The 21,270-nt window shown below is 37.7% G+C and overlaps 1 protein-coding gene across 10 annotated transcripts in view; it reads right to left on the bottom strand.

Annotated features, from left to right (window-relative positions):
- The window catches only part of WDFY4 (WDFY family member 4), a 298,084-nt gene that overhangs the window by 106,276 nt on the left and 170,538 nt on the right, over nt 1-21,270 (bottom strand). For all 10 annotated transcript variants that reach the window (XM_011539988.3, NM_001394531.1, XM_017016463.2 and 7 more), the window contains 3 exons: nt 9,339-9,416; nt 2,984-3,190; nt 1,541-1,592 (listed from right to left, as the gene is read on the bottom strand). In XM_011539988.3, the coding sequence (XP_011538290.1) occupies nt 1,541-1,592; nt 2,984-3,190; nt 9,339-9,416 (337 nt within the window). The remainder of the gene's footprint in view (nt 1-1,540; nt 1,593-2,983; nt 3,191-9,338; nt 9,417-21,270) is intronic.

Here is a 21,270-nt window from a genome sequence, read left to right as displayed (position 1 = left end):
AATTTCACTTCATTCACTCTTTGAATATTGCTGTTTTTTCTCATGATAGAAACAATATCCTTTTATTGTAAAAAAAACTTGGAAAAGATATGAAGTTGTGAGAAATAAAACAAATCTCACCCATGCACCCAGAGATAGTGCTAATAATAACAGGTCCCATTTAGTAAGCCCTTTCTCTGTGCCAGATACTTCTGATGACATTTTAAAATGTTGTCCCATCTTGGTTGGAGATACTATTTCATCCTCACTTGACAAATGGAAAAGCTGAAACAGGCTAATTACTTTGTACAAGATCATATGGCTTCTAAGAACTAGAGGTAGAATCTGAATAAAGTCTCTCTGGGATAAGGGTCTGGTTTTTTCATCTCTAGTCTGTTTGGCTCCACTGTTTACAATTTGGTCCATTTACTTTCATTATCTTTTCTGTACTGGATGATTGAAAGTGTCTGCTGCTCACGCAAACCCTCATAGCTTTCCCCCATGCAGGGAGAGGTGTGTAGGAGAGGCATGGTGGAGAACCACAGGACCTTTTTTCTCCTTTGGCTGAGCTCCCTACTCAGGGTGCATACTGGAAATACCATGAAGGCCCAGGGTCACAGACACCCAGGGGCTCTGCATGTCAAGAATGAGAGGACACAGCAGCCCATGGCCATCATCCACAAAAAGATCAGTTCATGCTTTCCACCACTGCACTCTCTGCAACTCCCACCTCTGGAGCTGGAGCAGGCAGGCAATCATTCCATGTGAGAGTTGTAGGGCTTGGGGTGGAGAGACGAGAGGCAAACAGGTATCACAATATCATCCTATCCTCTGTGCCACAATAAGACCCCAAATCACCTGGGGATCAGAGCCCAAGATCCTCACTTCTGGGCTTGTATTACTGCAGACAGGCAAGGTAGCAAGCTCAATACAAATCCATTAGTCAGGAAATGAGAAAAGTTTGATCAGCAGTAACAAGTAGTCATTGGCCAGGTGTGCTGGCTCATGGCTATAATCCTAGCACTCTGGGAGGCCAAGGCAGGTGGATCACTTGAGCTTAGGAGTTGGAGACCAGCCTGGGCAATGTGGCAAAACCCCATCTCTACAAAAATTACAAACATTATCTGGGCATTGTGATGTGTACCTGTAGTCCCAGCTACTCTGGAGGCTGAGGCAGGAGGATTGTGTGAGCCCAGGAGGTGGAGGCTGCAGTGAGTTGTGATTATGCCACTGCACCCCAGCCTAGGTGACAGCACAAGACCCTGTCTCAAAAATTGTTTGGGAATACTTTTAAGATCTCCCTGATATAGCAAATTGACAAGACTGTTTCTCCCCAAAAATTGTTATTGTTGCAACCTTAATAGAAAATGTTTTCCCTAACAAGTGTCTAGGGCTGAAATCGACTTGTCTTCTCTCTGGAAGTGCAGTAACAATAAGTCCCAGGGCTGGCTACAATAGCATTTTCCTCTTCTAAAATATTAATTTAATATCTTTAATAAAATATTAAATAAAACCAATAATTAGCTTAACTATTAAAGGAAAAAATAGATAAACTGAATACCTTGGTTTTCAGCATTTGTTTGAGAAATATGATCATTTTTGTCTTGGCTTTCCTGAAATAAGGACATTGAAAAGAAAAATTAAATCCTGGATGCTACATCTATGCTTCACTCACCTCCAATTCCACAGATTCACAAACACGCACATGCATGTGACCCCTTCAAATTATGCAAGACTCAGATGCAAAGGGAGAGAAACACTAAATCCTAAAGGACCACAATAAAATGCAAGTATGAATGTTCCTGAGTCAAAGGGGAAAAAACCCACAATCTTCCATTAAGTAGGACTTACGGTAATTACCAAAGAAGAGGCCCAGATGGGATTAGATAGCATCCTCAATGTCTCTGTGTAGGACACCCTGGAGAGGGGACCAGGGGAGGTTCCAGGGCTGGACAGCCCCAGAGACCAGAGACCAGGTTTCATAGCCAGCCCTTGGCTTTGTCACCAGCACAGTGAGCAGGCTACTTATTTTTTTTATTTTTTATTTTTTTTTGCTTCCTATTCCTAAAAAATGTAGTGAGGGAAAATACTACACACCACCAAATGTTTATTGACAATACTTAGAAAATTTAAGTATCTACTGAATAAATGAAATCTAATTTTTTCATTAGATTTTACAAAGGATTTTTAGCATGAGTAAAAGATGCTGAGGTTACAGACGAGAGAATAAACTCAACATTGTTACTTGTGATGAATGCAGAAGAAAAAAATCCAGCATTCTGGTGTTTGGAAGGCCGCCTTTGAGGATATTTTAAATTATGATCATTCAATAAAGACATGAAAAACTATTAACAGATTTCCTATATCTACTACCAAATGAATCCAACTGGCTTCTTTTCTTTTAAAAGGCAAAATAAGAGTTTGCGACACAGTTCAAGCTTCATTAGAGCAAACTCCCAGGGACTACCCAGATTCTGTTGCTTGGGAAGTCAATGTTGTTTGGAATGAGTGGATCACTGGCTCAAAATTGCAGAAACAGTCAAGTTCATGAGATTTTCATCGTAAAATTTGTTATGGGATTTGCAGTAATGCTTATAGCAGTATGGGTTACAACTGCCCAATAACAAGTAACTTGTGCGAGCAGACAATAGCCTTCCCCTGGCCCTTTCCAAGCACTTGCATCCAGATGATTCCACAGGACTTGTGTGGACTGCAGCACAGGGCTGTGCCTGCAGCATAGGTAAGAACCACTCACCACTCAACACTCAATATTTATTCATTCATGCAGGCTGTAGTTACAGTGTCCCTGCTATGTACCTAGGAGGGTTAGTGATGCTTTTCTCCTCTTAAATGGCATTGAGAATAAATTTTGGGACTCTCCTACATTTAACTGCATGTGTTATCTTAGCCTGATATAAACAACATGTGATGGGGAAGCTCAGGAGCTGCTTTCCTATCAGGCCCTACCTGGAACCAGCACTGTCCCACTGCGCCTGACTCCTACCTTGTGCCTTCCTGAGCTCAGGGCCTCCAAAGGAGACAAGCGTTTGATGCGTTTCCTCATTCGAGCTGGTCCTTCTCTCCAGTCGAGTTCCCATGGGGAACAGGGCTTGGTTTCTTCCCCCTGGCTCCACAAGCCCAGCTCCCCAAAAAGCTGCTCCTGGATCCTGGCCCAGGCGTTGGCTGCCTTGATGTTGCCACATTTTCGCCTCTGGGGAGCAGAAACAGAGTCACCCTGGATACATTTGCCTTATGGGCCTTATGGGCCTGGCCCCAAACCTCCTGGGGTGAATAAGCCAAGTCTCCCATGAATGTTTGAGAAAGATACCTTCTCTCTACACCCTCAGAATGTGTAGGGTACCCACTGCAGCCAGGACTATAAGGAAACAGTTGCTCAGCTTTAAGATATCTTAATCCAAGTTAGGGGAGGAGAAAGTTGTCTGCCCTTTGGCCTTCAGAGCCATGAGGCTACTGGTGATGGACAGAAAGCAACAGGTCTGGAAGGTCCTGTAGCAGCTCATCAGCATGGACTGGACAGCTATTTTACCAAATGGACATGAATCTCACCACAATCCCACCCTTCAAAAGTGAAGCTGAATGTACTTTTTTCCAGTTGCCTGAACTAGAGTGGAGTGGGAATTTGAATGTACTTTTTTCCAGTTGCCTGAACTGGAGTGGAGTGGGAATTAGAAGCCCTCAAGACAACTGATTGATTTGAGCAAGTGACTCCCATCTCTGGATCTCAGAATCTCCAACGAAATGACAGACCTGGCCTGAATGATGTCTAAGGGCCTTTCAATCCTAATGTCATAGATTCCAGAATGTTCAGAGATTCTAGAATATTCACAGGAGCTAAAACCTTTCATAGTAATGCAAAGAATCTCATTTAATAGCTATAAGATCCTCACAGTTTGCATCTGTGGTCTCTGACTGCCACATCTGCTACTACAGTATGACTCAAACTTTTCTAATAATACATAGATACCCCCAACCTGCATTTATAGACCACATTAAAGTTACATGCATCACCTGTCAAAGAAGCAGTTCAGTTCAGTTTGCACAGTAGAGTCAACTTTGCAGGATACACTTTTGCAATTATTCAAATATTTTATGGAATTTGTCCCACATTTAATGTTTTCAGAAAATGAAAAGGTGAAGTGCTAATGACAAGAAGCATAACAACATGAACAGAAAAGACACTCATTATCATGTGTTAGGCTGAGCCCTGCACCTGCTTTATCTCATTTCCTCTACCCAGTGGTACCACAAGTATTTTCGATCATCCCCATGATGATGCTAAGTCTGCAAAGGAGAAGTGCCTTCTCCAAAGCCAACAGGTGGCCAAACAGAGATTTAAACCTGGTCTGTTGGATTCCAAAGACTTCCTTGAGCATGGGAGCTAGATTACTTTGCTGAGGGGCTATTATTTTATGAGTGCATGATATCTGCTAGCATTTCAAAAAACTGGAAGACTTATAGATGTAGGCCTTGCAAATCTTGGCCATTTTAAATGAGTAAATTGTTCTCATAACTTGCCAGAGGCATTCCCATGAAAGCATGGCTTTGGGGTGGGGGATAGTGCCCAGCAGGTGGTTTCTGGCATTTGATGGACCTGATCATCCATCATGTTTCTGTGAATCACCAGCAGTTCAATCTGGAGGATCTTCAACTTCCTCATCAGTCAAATGTGGTTAATAATAGTACCATAATAATAATCACGGGCTTCTAGAATGATTAAATGGGACAATATTTTCAAGAGCTTAATATGGTACCTTACTCAGCTTAAGTAATCAGTGTTATCACTGTGAATGAAGCTAATCCTATTTCAAAACAAGATCATTTTGTTTCTCTACAGTTCTTAAATTCATATCCCAAACAGTGCTAGCATTTTATGTAGTACTCCAATTGGTTAATAAGAAACTCCAAGATGTACATTGTATTGCATGCCTCTAATCCCAGAGCTTTCAGAGGCCAAGGTGGGAGAATTTCTTGAGGCCAGAAGTTAAAGACCAGCCTGGGCAACATAGCAAGACCCAGTCTCTACAAAAAAATTAAAGAAATAACTGGGCATGTTAGTGCATGACTGTACTCTCAGCTATTTGGGAGGCTGAGGCAGGAGGATCTCTTGAGCCCAGGAGTTCAAGGCTTCTGTGGGCTATGATTTACATGACTGTACTTCAGCCTGGGCAACAAAATAAGACCCTCCTTGTCTCAGAAAAAAAAAAAAAGGGGGGGGCCACCAGAAAAATAATGACTATCCAACTGACTATCCAAAGCTTTTTACAGAGACTTGGTCACATAGAATGAACACTCGTTTGGCAGAAATATTTCAGTTCCCTGGAGATTGTAGTGACATTTGTACTTTTGCATTTGTAGTAACATACGGAGCTTCATGGAGGATGAATAATCTCAAGCTATTGGGTTGTCCAGCCTTAGCTTCAAATTAGTTTTTTAAGAACACATATCCGGCCAGGCACAGTGGCTCATGCCTGTAATCCCAGCACTTTGGGAGGCTGAGGCAGGCGGATCACGAGGTCAGGAGATCGAGACCATCCTGGCTAACACGGTGAAACCCCGTCTCTTCTAAAAAATACAAAAAAATTAGCTAGGCGTGGTGGCAGGTGCCTGTAGTCCCAGCTACTCTGGAGGCTGAGGCAGGAGAATGGTGTGAACCGGGAAGGCGGAACTTGCAGTGAGCCGAGATAGCGCCACTGCACTCCAGCCTGGGGGAAGGAGCGAGCCTCCATCAAAAAAAAAAAAGAACGCATATCCACCCCAAGTCTCCACCTATGCAACCTGGGGATGCACAGCTCCCTGGGTCTTCATCACAGAGCACACATGTTGCCTTGAATATCTGTAGTCAGACAATGGTGTGATCCCTGAGAGAGATGTGATTATTTAGTCCATGATAGCAAGTTACAGGTGGCCCAGGGCAGAGGAAGTCAGATGACTAAATAGCAAAAGTCCTGAGTTTCCACACCTGCAAAGGTGCTCTGAAATGCCCATGTTTCTGCACAGTGTAAGGCCCTCTTTCTATTCAAACTGCAAGTGGGCCAAATGCCACACTTAAGGCCCACAGACTCACAGGCAGGGATTCTGTTATGTTGGGGGACAACTACAATTTCTTTCTTTTTTTTTTTTTTTTCAGAGACAAGGTCTTTTTCTCTGTCATACAGGCTAGAAGGCTAGAAAGCAGTGGCATGATCATAGCTCACTGTAACCTGTAACCTCCAACTCCTGGGATGAAGCAATCTTCCCACCCCAGCATCCTGAGTACCTAGAACTAAAGGTGCCACTATACATGGCTAATGTCTTTTTAACTACTTTTTTTTGAGTTGGGGTCTCGCAATGATGCCCAGTCTGGCCTTGAGCTCCTGTCATCAAACAATCCTACTGCCCAACCTCCCAAAGCACTGGGATTAGAGGCATGAGCCACCACACTTGACCAGTTATGATTTTCGAATCACAGCAACCCTTGGGTAGCAACACTTAGATTAACCTTTGGAAACCCAGCCCTTCCCTACTTTCAGTCCCTGCTACTTCAGTGGGGTTGACCAGCCTTCAAAGATGAACACTTCACCCAAGTCTCTATAATCTGAGTTGTTATGAATGGTTATAGGATGGGCCAACAGGCACCACCCCCTAGGGCTGGGAATGGCACCCTCAGGAGCCCACACAGAGGAAGCAGAGCACGGAACTTGATCCAGCGCTGCTTGAATTCTGCGTTTCCCTGCATTCTTCAGTAAAACAAGACATTTTTTTTGTTGCCTAAGGCAGTCTGAGTTGAGTTTCCAATATTTTTAACTGACAGAGCTGTGATAAATACTCGATGAGTAGATAGAGACTGAACAAGAGAAGAAAACTAGAGGCCCTAGAAGAGAGTGGGACAGAAGACAGTGGCCATTTCTGAGTTGTCAGGCATCTCACAAAGAACTCCAACCAGTAAAGACTGTGTAGGCAGGATAAGTCATTTCTGCAAATTATAATGAAGATTCAACATAAGAACTGGATGGCCTAAGTATGTAACAGACAGAGCAAGAGAGGCTGGGCCACAGAGAAGAGAATGAAGATAATGTGGACAAGGCAAAGGGGAATCTGAACAGGGCCAGACTGTAGAGGCAACTTTTTGTCAGAACTTCTGGATCAAAAAAAAAAAAAATTGGCTGATTGACTATTTGAATTGCAATGTTTGCTGTTGATATAATAATGGGATATAATGATGCTTGGGTTAACTTCCAGGGCACTAGGCAATGATGCCTTCTTATGCTGGGGGCTGCTGCCATCTCCAGTCACCTCTCAGTTGTGGGTAAAGTGCCTGGTTAGAAAAGTCCTGCGTGGTGTGTTACTGGCCACCCTGTGGGCAAGGGCCCCTGAATCTCCCCTTCTTAGGAGGGCCTCATTTGGTGCACCTGGGAGAAGCTGTCTCAAAGGACGTGGCAGATTTCTTAAGCCTAATCTCTGTCCAGAGTTTGGACCTGACTTTTCTGGAAGTGGAATGGGCCTTTCTTGGGAAAGCATACTACTCCTTAAAAAAGCAGGGCAAAGGTCCACATCCCATTATCTATGGCAGATGTTATTATATCTTCATTCTTTCAAATATCAAAACAACCTGACTTAAATATTTAAATACTTGGAAAGTATCCTTGTGGATTAGCTTCCAAATGCTGATTTTCTCAAAAATACCTCAATCAACAGGAAAATTGCACAACTTTCTCAAGTCCTTTCTGAACTCCAGTCAGCCCTGCTGCTGAAGATGAGACAGGCTAACCTTTCAGGTGGCTGGATCCCTTCCTTCTGGGCTTGAGGGAGTTGCATCCTTCCCACAAGAACCTATAATCTCACAGATCTCAACAGAATTTCACAAAGTACCCCAGGGCATCTCTCCTGGCCATAACTGTATCTCCCAGGCTCTTCTAACCATTGGAGCAGAAATGGTTGCACTCTAGACGAGATGCAGATTAGGAAGTTTAGATAAACCACATCCTCCATCTCAAAATGGTGTAGTGGTGATGAGGATGTCCACCAATAAAGGATGCAATCCTACAAGATTCATCTTATTTCCCCCTCAGTGGCAATTAAATTTATCAGCCATATTGCTATCCCTGAGTGAAATCTGTCAATCCATGTTGTGAGTCATTAACGTGCAATGGTCTGTCCAATAGGCACAGATGACACACATATAGGCCAGCAAGACACCCTACCCAGCTGTGCAGCACAGTCAGCAATGTTGGAGTGGGGTAGATGCCCACAGAGAAAACCCTTGTCCAACCAAAGGGTCTGTGAAAGACCAGCTTGTGCACTCAGAAAAACTAGACATGCCTGCTGATCCCTCTGACTATCACAGCCATGATCACATCCTGTACACACCAAACCTCGTTTCTCACAAGTGTCCTGTCTGGTAAGCTGCTGCTCCCATCACTCAGGAGAGCCTGGGAGGCTATGTTGCTAAGCTGTGTGTTTCTGGGGTTCAGGCTGCACATCCATGAATGGGTCTTCCCAGGGGCATGTTGTGGGCTTTTAAGGGGGAAACTAGACAAGGCAACTCAGTTTCAGATGATTAGTGCCTCTTCTGTTTCCTGGCACCGGGCACCATGTGTAAGCCTTCCTGCTCTGTGGCCCACCCAGGACACACTAATGGCTCCTTATACCCCATCGCTCCTTTCCCCATAGTAGAACATCCTATCATTGAGCTCATCACCATGTATTGTGGGCAATTCTTTACTCTGGGTTTCATCTACAAGTTTCAAACACCTTCAAGACACAGGAGTATCATAATCTCTGCATTTTTTTATACTTCACACTGTCTTTGGGACAAAGAAATTGCTGGGTAAATAATATATTCAACAGGGTTTTAAGACTGTATGTTGTGTTCTATTTTTAGCAATATGTTAAATTTTTATTAATAACAGTAACACCAAATAAAAATAAACTTCTTAGCTATTCTATAACCACACATGGGTTATCCATTCTCTATCAGCCACAGTCTGGGTGCTTCACACTTGCTTTTAAATCTTCACAGGTAGGAAGACTTATTCCAGCTTAGAGATGAGCACACAGAGGCTCAGACCACTGGCATAGAAAGGGGCAGACTTAGAATTCAAATAAAGCTCTGACTGGCATGAGAGCCAGTGTTCTTTGCCTAGATTGTACAGCAGTCAGGCCTAGATAGGTACTTTAAATATCTAAGCCTGCCCTTGTCAGTGGCAACCCATTGCATTTAGGATAAAATGCAAAACCCCAACATGGTGCAAGCCTGGTGAGCAATCCAGAACGTAAACCAAAGGCCCTTCCAATTATTTTTCAGGTTCAAGGTGGATTCCAGCTTGCTGTATAGAGAAAGCCTATGTTTTGTTTCTTACTTGCACATGGTCTTTGTATAAAGATGCATATAGCTCTTGTCCTCTTCTTCTGTAGTTCTCTATACATGACACAAAATCCTGGAGAAAGGAGAAAACAAGTCACAGCTTAATGATAGTTGTGATTTTATTTTATTTTATTTTATTTTATTTTATTTTATTTTATTTTATTTTTTGAGACACAGTCTCATTCTGTCACCCAGGATGGAGTGCAGTGGCACAATCTTGGCTCACTGCAACCTCTGCCTCACAGGTTCAAGCAATTCTCCTGCCTCAGCCTCCCAAGTAGCTGGGATTTCAGGCGCCCACCACCATGCCTGGCTAATTTTTGTATTTTTAGTAGAGACAGGTTTCACCACATTGGCCAGGCTGGTCTTGAACTTCTGACCTCAGGTGATCCATCTGCCTCAGCCTCCCAAAGTGCTGGGATTACAAGCGTGAGTGATAGTTGTGATTTTAGATAAGAACGTCTCTATACTGACCAATTGACAGAGGAAATAGTGGTTACAGAATTTGTTGGTCAAATGAGATTCATATAAATACAGGCGTCACCTATGCTGACACACTCACATATGAATACATTCACATACGTGTTTATGGGTTGCTTCCATCTCCAACTATGATGAACTAGCTTGCAGTAGCTCAACCTTCCTCCTAAGAATGACTGAAAAGACCTAGATTTGAACAATCTGCTCTAAGACAGCAGAGAGCTACCAAGAGAGCTGAATTTGAGGAGCCAAGATTCTGAAGAGGAATTCACTGAGGTGTGCCCGACATTTATGCTTTTTTCTATTTTTTGGACCTTGAGATACATGCAAATTTTCAAATAGCTCAAAAGGATGAGAAGCTGAGGCCACAAAACAAACTTCAGTAAATTTAAAAGGATAGACATAATACAAAGCATGTCTTTTAATCACAACGGAACAAAATTTGAAATCAATTAGCAGAAAGAAATTTGGCAAACTCAAAAATAAGTGTAGATTTAAAAGCACATTCCTAAATAACTAATGGGTCAAAGAAGAAATCAAAAGGGAACTTTTTGAGATGAATAAAAATAAAGACACAACATACCAAAACACGTAGGCTATAACTAAAGAAGAGCATAAAGGAAAACTCATAGTTATAAATGCCAATATTAAGAAAAAAAAGAAACACGTTAAATCAATATCTGAAACTTCCATCTGAAGACACTGGGGAAAAAAGAGCAAACTAAATCTAAAGCAAGTAGAAGGAAGGGGAAAATAAATATTAATGCAGAAAGTAATGAATTACAGAATATAAAAAACAATAAATAAAATTAATGAAACTAAAATCTGGTACTTTGGAAAGATCGATAAAATTGGCAGTCTTTAGCTAGGTTGACCAAGAAAAAAGAGGAAAGGCTTAAATTATTATACTAGGATCAGAAATGAAGGAGACAATACTACTGACCTTACTGAATTTTTTCAAAAGATTATAAAAAAATACTATAAACAATTGTATGCCAATAAATTAAATAGCTTAGATTAGATGAACAAATTCCTAGAAAGACACAAATTGCCAAAACTGACTCAAGAAGAAATGGACAATTGGAATAGATCAATAACAAGAAAATAAATTGAATTAGTAAAACAACAACAACAACAAAACCTACCCACAAAGAAAAGCCCAGCCCAGGCCCAGATGGCTTCACTGCTGAATCCTAACCACCACTTAGTGAAGAATTCACGGCAGTTTTTCAAAAACTCTTCCAAGAATTAGAAGAGCAAGGGACACTTCCCAACACATTCTATGGGACCAGTTATTACCCTGACACAGAAAACAGACAAAGGCTTTACTAGAGAACTACAGACCAATATCTCATATAAATATTAATGTAGAAATCCCCAACAAAATATCAACAAACTGAATCCACCAACATATAAAAAATTATATACCATGACCAAGTGAGATTTAGCCTAGTAATGCAGAGTTGGCTTAACAACTGAAAATAATTAATGTACTACACCACATAATAGAATAAATAACAGAAACCATGTAATAATTTCAATAGACATTTAAAAAAATTGACAAAAATTTAAAACCCTTTCATGACAAAACAAAAAGTCAACCAACTGGGTGGGGAAAAAGAATTTTCTCAATCTCATAAAGGGTAACTACAAAAAGTCCACAGCCAACATTATACAACATTATACTTGGTGGTGAAGGACTGAATGTTCCTTAACATCAGGAACAAGACAAGGATGTCCACTTTCAACACTTCTAGACAGCAATGTACTGAAGGTTCTAGACAGGACAACCAGACAAGAAAAAGAAATAAAAGGCATCCAAATTGAAAGAGAAGAAAAACACCTCTGTTCACAGATGGCAGGATTCTATATATAGAAAATCCCAAATATTCCACAAAATAACTGCTAGGACCAATAAATGAATTAAGCAAAGTTTCAGTGTACAAGATCAAAACACGTAAATCAGCTGTGTTCCTATCCACCACTAATAAACAATCCAAAAAATAAATTAAGAAAGCGATTCCTCTTATAACATTATCAAAATAATGAAATGCCTAGGAATATATTTAACCAAGATGAAAAACTTGTACACTGAAACCTATAAAATATCACTGGAAGACCTAAATTAATAGAAGATATCCCATATGTATGGTAACAAGTTCTTATATTGTTAAAATGTCAATACTACCTAACATAATCTACAGAATTAACAATCCCTATCAAATTCCAATGATCACTCTTTTTTGCAAAAATTGAAAAGTCAATCTTCAAGATCATATGAAATTACAAGGGACCTCCAAAACCAAAACAATCTTTAACAAAATAAAGAATGTAGAAAGACTTACAGCTCCTGATTTCAAAACTTACTGTAAAGCAATGGCAAACAAGGCAGTGCAGCACTGGCATAAGAATAGATATATACATCAATGGAATAAAATTGAGAGTCCAAAAATAAAACAATTTGTCTATATTCAATTAATTCTTTACAAAGGTGCCAAAACTATACAATGGGGAACGAATAGTCTTTTTAACAAATGGCGATGGAAAACTAAATAGCCATATGCAAAATAATGAAGTTAAACCTTTACTGCATAACATACAAAAATTAACTTAAAATGAAACAAAAACCTGAATAGAAGAGCTAAAACTATAAAACTCTTAGAAGAAAACTTAAAAGTACATCTGCATGATCTCAGATTTGGCATTTGTCCGATTTAGATTTTGGCACCAAAAATAAAAGCAACAGTGAAAAGTGATATGGTTAGGCTTTGTGTGCCCACTCAAATCTCATCTTGAATTGCAATCCCCCAAATCCCCATCATTTCCACGTGTCAAGGGGGAGACCAGGTGGAGGCAACTAAATCATGGTGTGGTTTCCCCCATGCTGTTCTTGTGATAGTGAGTGAGTTCTAACGAGATCTGATGGTTTATAAGGAGCTCTTCCCCACTTCGCTCAACACTTCTCCTTCCCACCACCTTGTGAAGAAGGTGCCTTGGTTCCTCTCCACCTTCTGCCATGATTGTAAGTTTCCTGAGGCCTCCCCAGCCATGCCAAACTGTGAGTCAATTAAACCTCTTTTCTTTATAAATTACCCAGTCTTGGGCAGTTCTTTATAGCAATATGAAAACGGACTAATACAAAAAGGGTAAGTTGGACTTCACCAAAAGTAAAAATTTGTGCTTCGAAAGACACTATTAGAAAGTAAAAAAAGACCCACAGAATGAAAAAAAAATTATAAATTACATGTCTGATAAGGGACTCATATCTAGAATATACAAAAATACTTAGAGATCAATAATAAAAAGAAAAATAATCCAATTTAAAAATGGACACTGGATCCAAAAAGACTGCTCTTCAAGGAAGATATTCAAATGGCTAATAAGCAGGTGAAAAGGTGCTTAGTGTCATTTGTCATCAGAGAAATGCAAACTAAAACTCACAATGAGATCAATGATACAGCCAACCAAGTAGGATGGTTAGAATCAAAACTTTAGATAATAACAAGTTTTATTGAGAGTATGGATAAATAGAAACTCTCATACACTGTTGGTGGGAATGTAAAATGGTGTAGAATTTTGGAAAACATTCTGAAAGTTATTCAAATGATTAAATAAAGTGTTGTCATTGACTCAGCAATTCCATTCTCAGGTATACACCCAAGATAAAAATTGTGTCCAACTGAAACTTATACATGAATGTTTATAGCAATATTATTCATAATAGTCAAAAGTTGGAAACAACCTAAATGTCCACCAACTGATGAACAAATAAACAAAATATGGTCTGTCTATATGATGGCATATTATTTAGTCATAAAAAAGAATGATGTATTGACACATGTTATAACATGCATGAGCCTTAAAAGCAACATCCTAAGTGAAAGAAGCTAATTTCAAAAGCCCAAATATTATATGATTCCATTTATATGAAATGTTTATAGAGAAAGTATATTAGTGATTGCTTAGGACTAGAGGGATGGGGGATAGAAGAGTGATAGCTAGAATATGCAGTATCTTTCTGAGGTTATAAAATGTTATAAAATTGATTACAGTGATGGTGGCACATATCTGGGAATATACTATAAACCAGCAGTTCTCAACTTTTTTGGCAGCAGGGACTGGTTTTGTGGAAGACAATTTTTCCATGAACCAGAGGTGAGGGGTTGGAGGAAGATGGTTTCAGGATGATTCAAGTACATTACATTTATTATGCACTTTATTTCTATTATTATTACATTGTAATATATAATGAAATAATTATACAACTCACAATAATATAGAACAACCTTGAGCTGTTTCTTTGCAACTATATGGTCCCATCTGAGGGTGATGGGAGACAGTAACAGATCATCAGGCATTAGATTCTCATAAGGAGAACACAACCTAGATCCCTGGCATGTGCAGTTCACAATAGGCTTTGTGCTCCTATGAGAGTCTAATGCCACAACTGATCTGACAGGAGGCAGGGCTCAGATACCGGGTCCATGGCCTGGGGGTTGGGGATCCCTGCTATAAACCATTTAATTGTTTACTTTAAATAGGTGAATTGTATGTTATATGAATTACATATAAATAAATCTGTTTAATAAAAAATATTTAGGGAAAAATAAAATCCAGAGTCTCATAACATAGACTCACATCAAGAATCAGGAAAATCTCAAACTGAGTTAAGGAAGACAATCAACAGATGCATACAGTGAGATAACAGAAGTGTTAGAACTATTTGACAAAGATTTTAAAGCAGCCATCATAAAAATGCTTCAACAACTACAAATTTAAAACATTCTGAAACAAATTTTAAAAAATTAGGGAGCCTCTGTTAATAAATAGAACACCTTATCAGATAAATAGAAGATATAAAGAAGAACCCAGTGTAAAACAGCAGAATGCAAGGGACAAAGGGAAGAGTCAGTGAACTGGACAATAGAACAATAGCAAGTAGCTATTCTGAACAACAGTGAGAAAGTAGAATGGAAAAAATGAACAAAGTCTTAGCTACCTATAGGACTATAACAAAAGATTTAATCTTTGTGTCATCAGAATCCCAAAAAGAATGGATAAAGTGGCTGGTGCCTAAAACTTACTAAAAAAAAATGGCTGAAAAAATCCCCCAAATAGCAAAAGATATAAACCTACAGGCTTCAGAAGCTAAGCAAATTCCAAACAAGACAGACCCATAGAAATCCATGTCAAGACACATTATAGTCAGACTTCTGAAAACTAACACAAAGAAAAAAATCCTAAACACAGGAAGAGAGAAACAACACCTTACCTAGAGGGGAAAGTATTTAATTAACAGTGATTTTTTTCATCAGAAGCCATGGAGTCCAAAAGGAAGTGGCACAGTATTTCTCAAGTGCTGAAAATAAAGAACTGTCAACACAGTATCCTATATCCAGCAAAAATATCCCTTTGGATTAAAGGGTAAATTAACACATTCTAAGATAAAGTAAAATTAAGAGAATTTGTCACCACCAAAGCTACCCTATAAGAATAGTTAAAGGAAGCTCTTTAAACAGAAGGTAAATGATAAAAGAAGGAATCTTGAAATACCAGGAAGAAAAAAGGAATATAGTAAGCAACATAAATATGGGTAGATACAGTATACATCCTTTTCCTCTTGAGACTTCTAAATTATTAGTGATGGTTAAAACAAAAATTATAACACTGTCTGATTTTATAACACTGTGTGATTTTAAACGAGTGTAGAGAAAATATTTAAAACTATTACATTATAAATGGAGAGTAATACCTAGAGCAACAACTAAAAAACCTACACAGAGAGATACACTCAAAACACAATAAATAAATGAAAATTTAATTCCAAAAAAATGTTCAAGTAACCCACATTGGTAGCCAACTTCACCCAACAAGACAACACACATTCTTTTCAATTGCTCTCAAAACATACACAAAACATCTTGGGCTATAAAAAAAAATCCAAAAAATTAAAATAAACAAAAACATGCAGAATGTGTCCTCGATACATAATTGAATCAAACTAGAAATTAGTAACAAAAGGATAACAAGAAATCCTCAAACTCTTAGGAACTAACAATAGACTTTAATCTGTGTCAAAAAAGAAGTCTCAAAATAAATTTTTTAAAAAATACATTAAATTTAATGAAATTGAAAATAGAAAATATCAAAATTTGTTTTATGTAGCTAAATCACTATTGAGAGGACAATACGTGGCAAAAATGCATAATTACAAAAGAGTAAAATTATATTATAAACTGAATGTTTGTGTTCCCCCAAATTCATATGTTAAAATCCTAACTCCCAACATAATGGTATTAAGAGGTGGGACATTTGGGAAGTGATTAGGTTTGATGCTGCCATGGGGTAGACCCCCATTATGGTATTAGTGTCCTCATAAGAAAAGGAAAAGACACCAGAGCTTTCTCTCTCCACCATGTGAGGATACAGCAAGAAGGCAGCCTTCAGTAAGCCAGGAGGGGAGCCTTCACCAGGGAGACAATTAGCCGGCACCTAGCTCTCGGACTTCCCAGCCTGTAGAACTGTCAGAAATAAGCCAGCCTGTGGGTAGTAACTTGTAATAGCAGCCTGAGCTGATAAGACAAATTCTCAAATAAATAATCTAAATTCCTACTCAAGGAACTAGAAAAAAGTGAAAAATAAGCAGAAGGAAGGTCATAATAAAGAGCAGAAATCAATGAAATTAAAAACAGAAAAGCAGAAAAATGATTGAAACAAAAACCTGTACTTTGAAGAGATAGAATTTACAAACCTTTAGAAACACTAACATAGATGAAAAAGGAAATGACACAAACTGCAATTCTCAAAAATGAAACAGGGGCTATTTCTACTGACCTGGCAGGCATAAAAAGTAAGGTAATACCAGGAACTGTACACACATCAATGTGACAATTTAGATGAAATGGATAAATTCTTTGCCAAACACAAACTACCACGACTCATCCAATACGATAGATCATTGGCATAGCCTTATAGCTGCTGTAAAAACTGAATTCCTAATTTTTAAAGTCTCCAAAAATAAATTGCCATATCCACATATTTTTACTTGAAGGTTTTATTAAAAATTTAAAAAGAATTAAAATCAAATTTACAAAATATAATCTAGAAAATAGAGTAGGAGATGATATTTTCCAATTAGTTTTATGAGGCTAACAATAGCCTGATAACAAAACTAGACAAACAGTACGAAAAAAGAGAAAACTATTTGTTCACGAATAGCTGCAAAATTTCTTATATTAACAAACAGAATTCAAGAACACCCCAAAACACTAATATACAATGGCCAAGTGGGATTTATTCCAGGAATGCAAATCTGACAAATATCCAAAAAGTAATCAATCAATCTAACTCACCATTTTAGCAGGTTAAAGAAGAAAATCGCATGGTCATATCAAGTGATACAGGATAACATTCAATAAAATTTAACACCTATTTATGATAAAACTCTCAGCAAACTAGGAATAGGTATAAATGTTTTTAACTTGATAAAGGGCATCTACGAAAACTCTACAGCTAACATCTTATTTAGTGATAAATAATGAATACTTTCGCTTTAAAATTGGAATAAAGTAAAGAGGTCTACTTTCACTGCTTTTATTAAATATAGTGCTAGAAGTTCTATTCAGTGCAATAAGGCAAGAAAAAAAGTAAAAGCCATACAGATTGAAAAGAAATAAATAAAATTGTCCCTATTTGTAGATACCCTGATTCTGTTGAATTCCTAAGGTATTTACAACAAAGCAAAACAAAACAAAATTCAATAAGGTAAATACTCAAGGTATTTACAAAAAAAATGCGGTCACAGGATATAAGATCAACACACACATAATAACTGTATTTCAAAATATTAGCAATGAACACATGGATGCTGAAATAAAAACAATATCATTGTCAATTTCTTGAAAATAATGAAAAACTTAAGTGTAAATCTAATAAAACACATATAGGATGCATATGTTGAAAACTATGAAATGCAGATGAAAGAAATAAAAGATGATCTGAATAAAAGGAAAAACATATCATGTTCATGAATTGGAAGACTCAACCTACAAATATGTCATTTCTTCTCAAATTGCTAAGCATGTTTAATAAAATTCTTATTAAAATACCAGCAAGGCTTTTTCTAGATACAGACGAGTTTCCAAAACTGGTGTCAATTGGAAAAGGGACTAGGAGAGTTAAAACAACTTTGAAAACTAAGAGTAAAATGAGAGGAATCATTCCACCGGATTTCAAGACTTAGTATACTCATAGTTACAGTAATTGAGAATGTGCGGTACTGAGAGAGGAATAGACATATAGATCAGTGGAACAGAAGAGAGAATCCAGAAATAATCCACACATGAATGCCCAACTAATTTTTGACAAAGTTGCAAAAGCTATTCAACAGATAGCTTTTCAGCAAATGGTGTTGGAGCAATTGGATGTCCATTGCCCAAAAAATGAACCTAAGTCTCGTACCTTATACAAAATTTAATTCAAAATGGACCACAGACTTTAATGTAAAACATAAAACTATACATATTTTAGGAAAAAATCTTTCATATCTAGGGATAAGCAAAGAGTTCTTAGATTTTATATTAAGACTGCCATTTGTAAAAAGAAAAATTAATGAACTGGACATCAACATTAAAATTTTGCTCTGCAAAACCATGAGAACAACGCTATGACAATCTACACTCTGAGAGAAAATATTTGTAAGACACATATCCATCAAAGGATTAACATCTAAAATATATGAAGAACTCTTAAAATTCAACAAGTAGGCTGGGCGTGGTGGCTCACATCTGTAATCTCAGCACTTTGGGAGGCTGAGGCAGGTGGATCACCTGAGGTCAAGAGTTCAAGACGAACCTGGCCAATGTGGTGAAACCTTGTCTCTACTGAAAATACAAAACAATTAGCCAGGCATGGTGGCAGGTGCCAGTAATCCCAGCTACTCGGGAGGCTGAGGCAGGAGAATCGCTTGTACCTGGCAGTGGAGGTTGCAGTGAGCCGAGACTGCACCGTTGCACTCCAGCCTGGGCAACAAGAGCAAAACTCCATCAAAAAAAGAAAAAAAAATCAACAAGTAAAAAACAAAAAATATCATCAGAAAATGTACAAAAGATGTGAATAAACATTTTACTAAAGAAGATATAAAGACCTTAGTACACTTTGTTCCACCCAGGTCACCCATCTAGATGGATATAGAGACTTTAATATTAATGCCTTTTAATAATAGACTGGCTAAATAACTTATATTTATATATTGAACATACTAATGATTCTCAAAATGTGGTCAATAAATTTCTAGGGATTCCTGAGACCTTTCCAGAGGCCATGTGAAATTAAAACTACCTTCAAAATACTATGACATTTTTGCCTTTTTTTTCCCGTGTTGAAATTGCATTGAAGGCCCCAAAAAGCAATAGTAAACAAAACTAATGCCTTGGCACAAATCAAGACATTGGCACCAACTGTATAAAAATCATCATGTGTATTCCCCACCACCAAGAGCTTATAGGAGGAAAAAAAAAGCTATTTTCACTTAAGAATATCTTTGATGAAGCAGTACAAATTATTAATTTTATTAAATCTCAACCCTGAATACACTTTTTTTAATAGTTTGTGTGATAAAATGGGAAGTCTGCATAAAGCATTTCTGAATACCAAAAAAAAAATGTGATGGTTGTCTCAAGGAAAAGCATGTGCATAACTGTTAGTTCTGTGAGCCAAACTAGCTGCTTCTCTCAGAGAACATCATTTTTATCTGAACAAATGACTGGCAGACAAAATTACAGTTATTGGCATGAGTATTTGGCAGCTATTTTCTTGAAAGTGAGCAAAGTAAACCTGTCATCTCAAATGAAACAACTGACAGTATTTGCTGCCAAAGATAAAATTTGAGCAAATTTTAGAAAAATCAAGCAAATACTAGAATTTTGGAAAATTTGTATCTGTGTGCCTCTGTGAGCTTGACAGTGTCCCAGTAGCTAAGAGTTTTTCTGGTAAGAGTGGTGTTAACTTCAGCATAATTTTTCTATATTGCATAATAAAATGTGTCAACAATTGGGAGAACTCCATAACTCAGGGAACCAATATTTCCCATATATGCTATCTGTATGTTCTAATGCATGTTACAAAATAATGTATGGCTTAAAATAGTCACTCAAAGTGCAAGATAGATCAACACATTTTAACGTAACAGAGTACAAAAATGTTACTGATAGAGTTCAAGTGTCCTTTAAGAAGTTACTACTTGTTGAGTTTTGGTATAGTATCAAAGAAGAATATAATTTCCTTAAACCACCATGGCACGTGTATACCTATGTAACAAACCTGCACTTACTGCACATGTACACCAGAACTCCAGAACTTAAAGTATAATTAAAAGAAGAAGAAAAAAAGAATCAGAAGAAAACTGAGCCTCACATAGACATGTAGTTGAAAAAGAGAGGAGTATTTTAATAGTCTCTTCAGATAACTGGATATTTTTCTTGAATACTCTTATCAATCTGACAGGTAGTATCTGGTTAGGTAAGTTGAGATGTGGAATCTGAAACAATATCAATCAACTTTTCATATTCTGTTGTATTAAAATATAGTGGCTATCTCGCAAAAAAGACTTTTAAAATACTACTTCCTTTTCTAACTGCATATCTGTGGGAAGTCAGATATTCTTCATCTATTTCAAAACATACTACAACAGATTGAACAAAGAAACAGATATAAGAACTCAGCAATTTTCCACTAAGTCCTACCGATATTAAAAATATTTTCAAAAACATAAAACAATACCACTTTTCTTACATTTTTTGTTTTAAAAATATAGTTACAATAGTCTCTCCTTACCTTCAGGGGACACGTTCCAAGATATTCCAAGAATGCCTGAAACCACAGATAGTACTGAACCCTATATATACTGTTTTTCTATACATACATACCTATGATAAAGTTTAATCTATAAATTAGGCACAGAAAGAGATTAACAACAATAATTAATAATGAATGGAGTAATTATAGTAATATACTGTAACAAAAGTTATAAAACTTATAAGTTATTTCTGAGATTTTTCTACTTAATATTTTTGGACCATGGTTAACCATGGATAACTCAAACTGCAGAAAGCAAAACTGTGAGTAAGAGGGGACTACTGTACTCATTCAAAATGTTATGTTTATACATAATGGGTCTATTATTTCTATTATTATTTTAAAATAAATTAGCACATGCATCATTTTAAAAATTGTTTTAATTTATAATATAGTAACTATGAATAGATAAAATATACATAAGCCAAAGCTCTTTGGAGTCCTTAATGATTTTTAAGAAAGTGAACAGGTCTTGAGACCAAAAAGTTTGAGAACTGTTGCCCTACCACTGTGAAAACAAATGAACCACTACTACAGATAAATCTTACAAACATAATTTGCAGTGAAATAAGCCAGACCAAAGAGTATATACT

Source organism: Homo sapiens, chromosome 10 (genome assembly GCF_000001405.40).
Source record: "Homo sapiens chromosome 10, GRCh38.p14 Primary Assembly".
NCBI lineage: Eukaryota > Metazoa > Chordata > Mammalia > Primates > Hominidae > Homo > Homo sapiens.
This window is presented reverse-complemented; position numbering and strand designations above follow the sequence as displayed.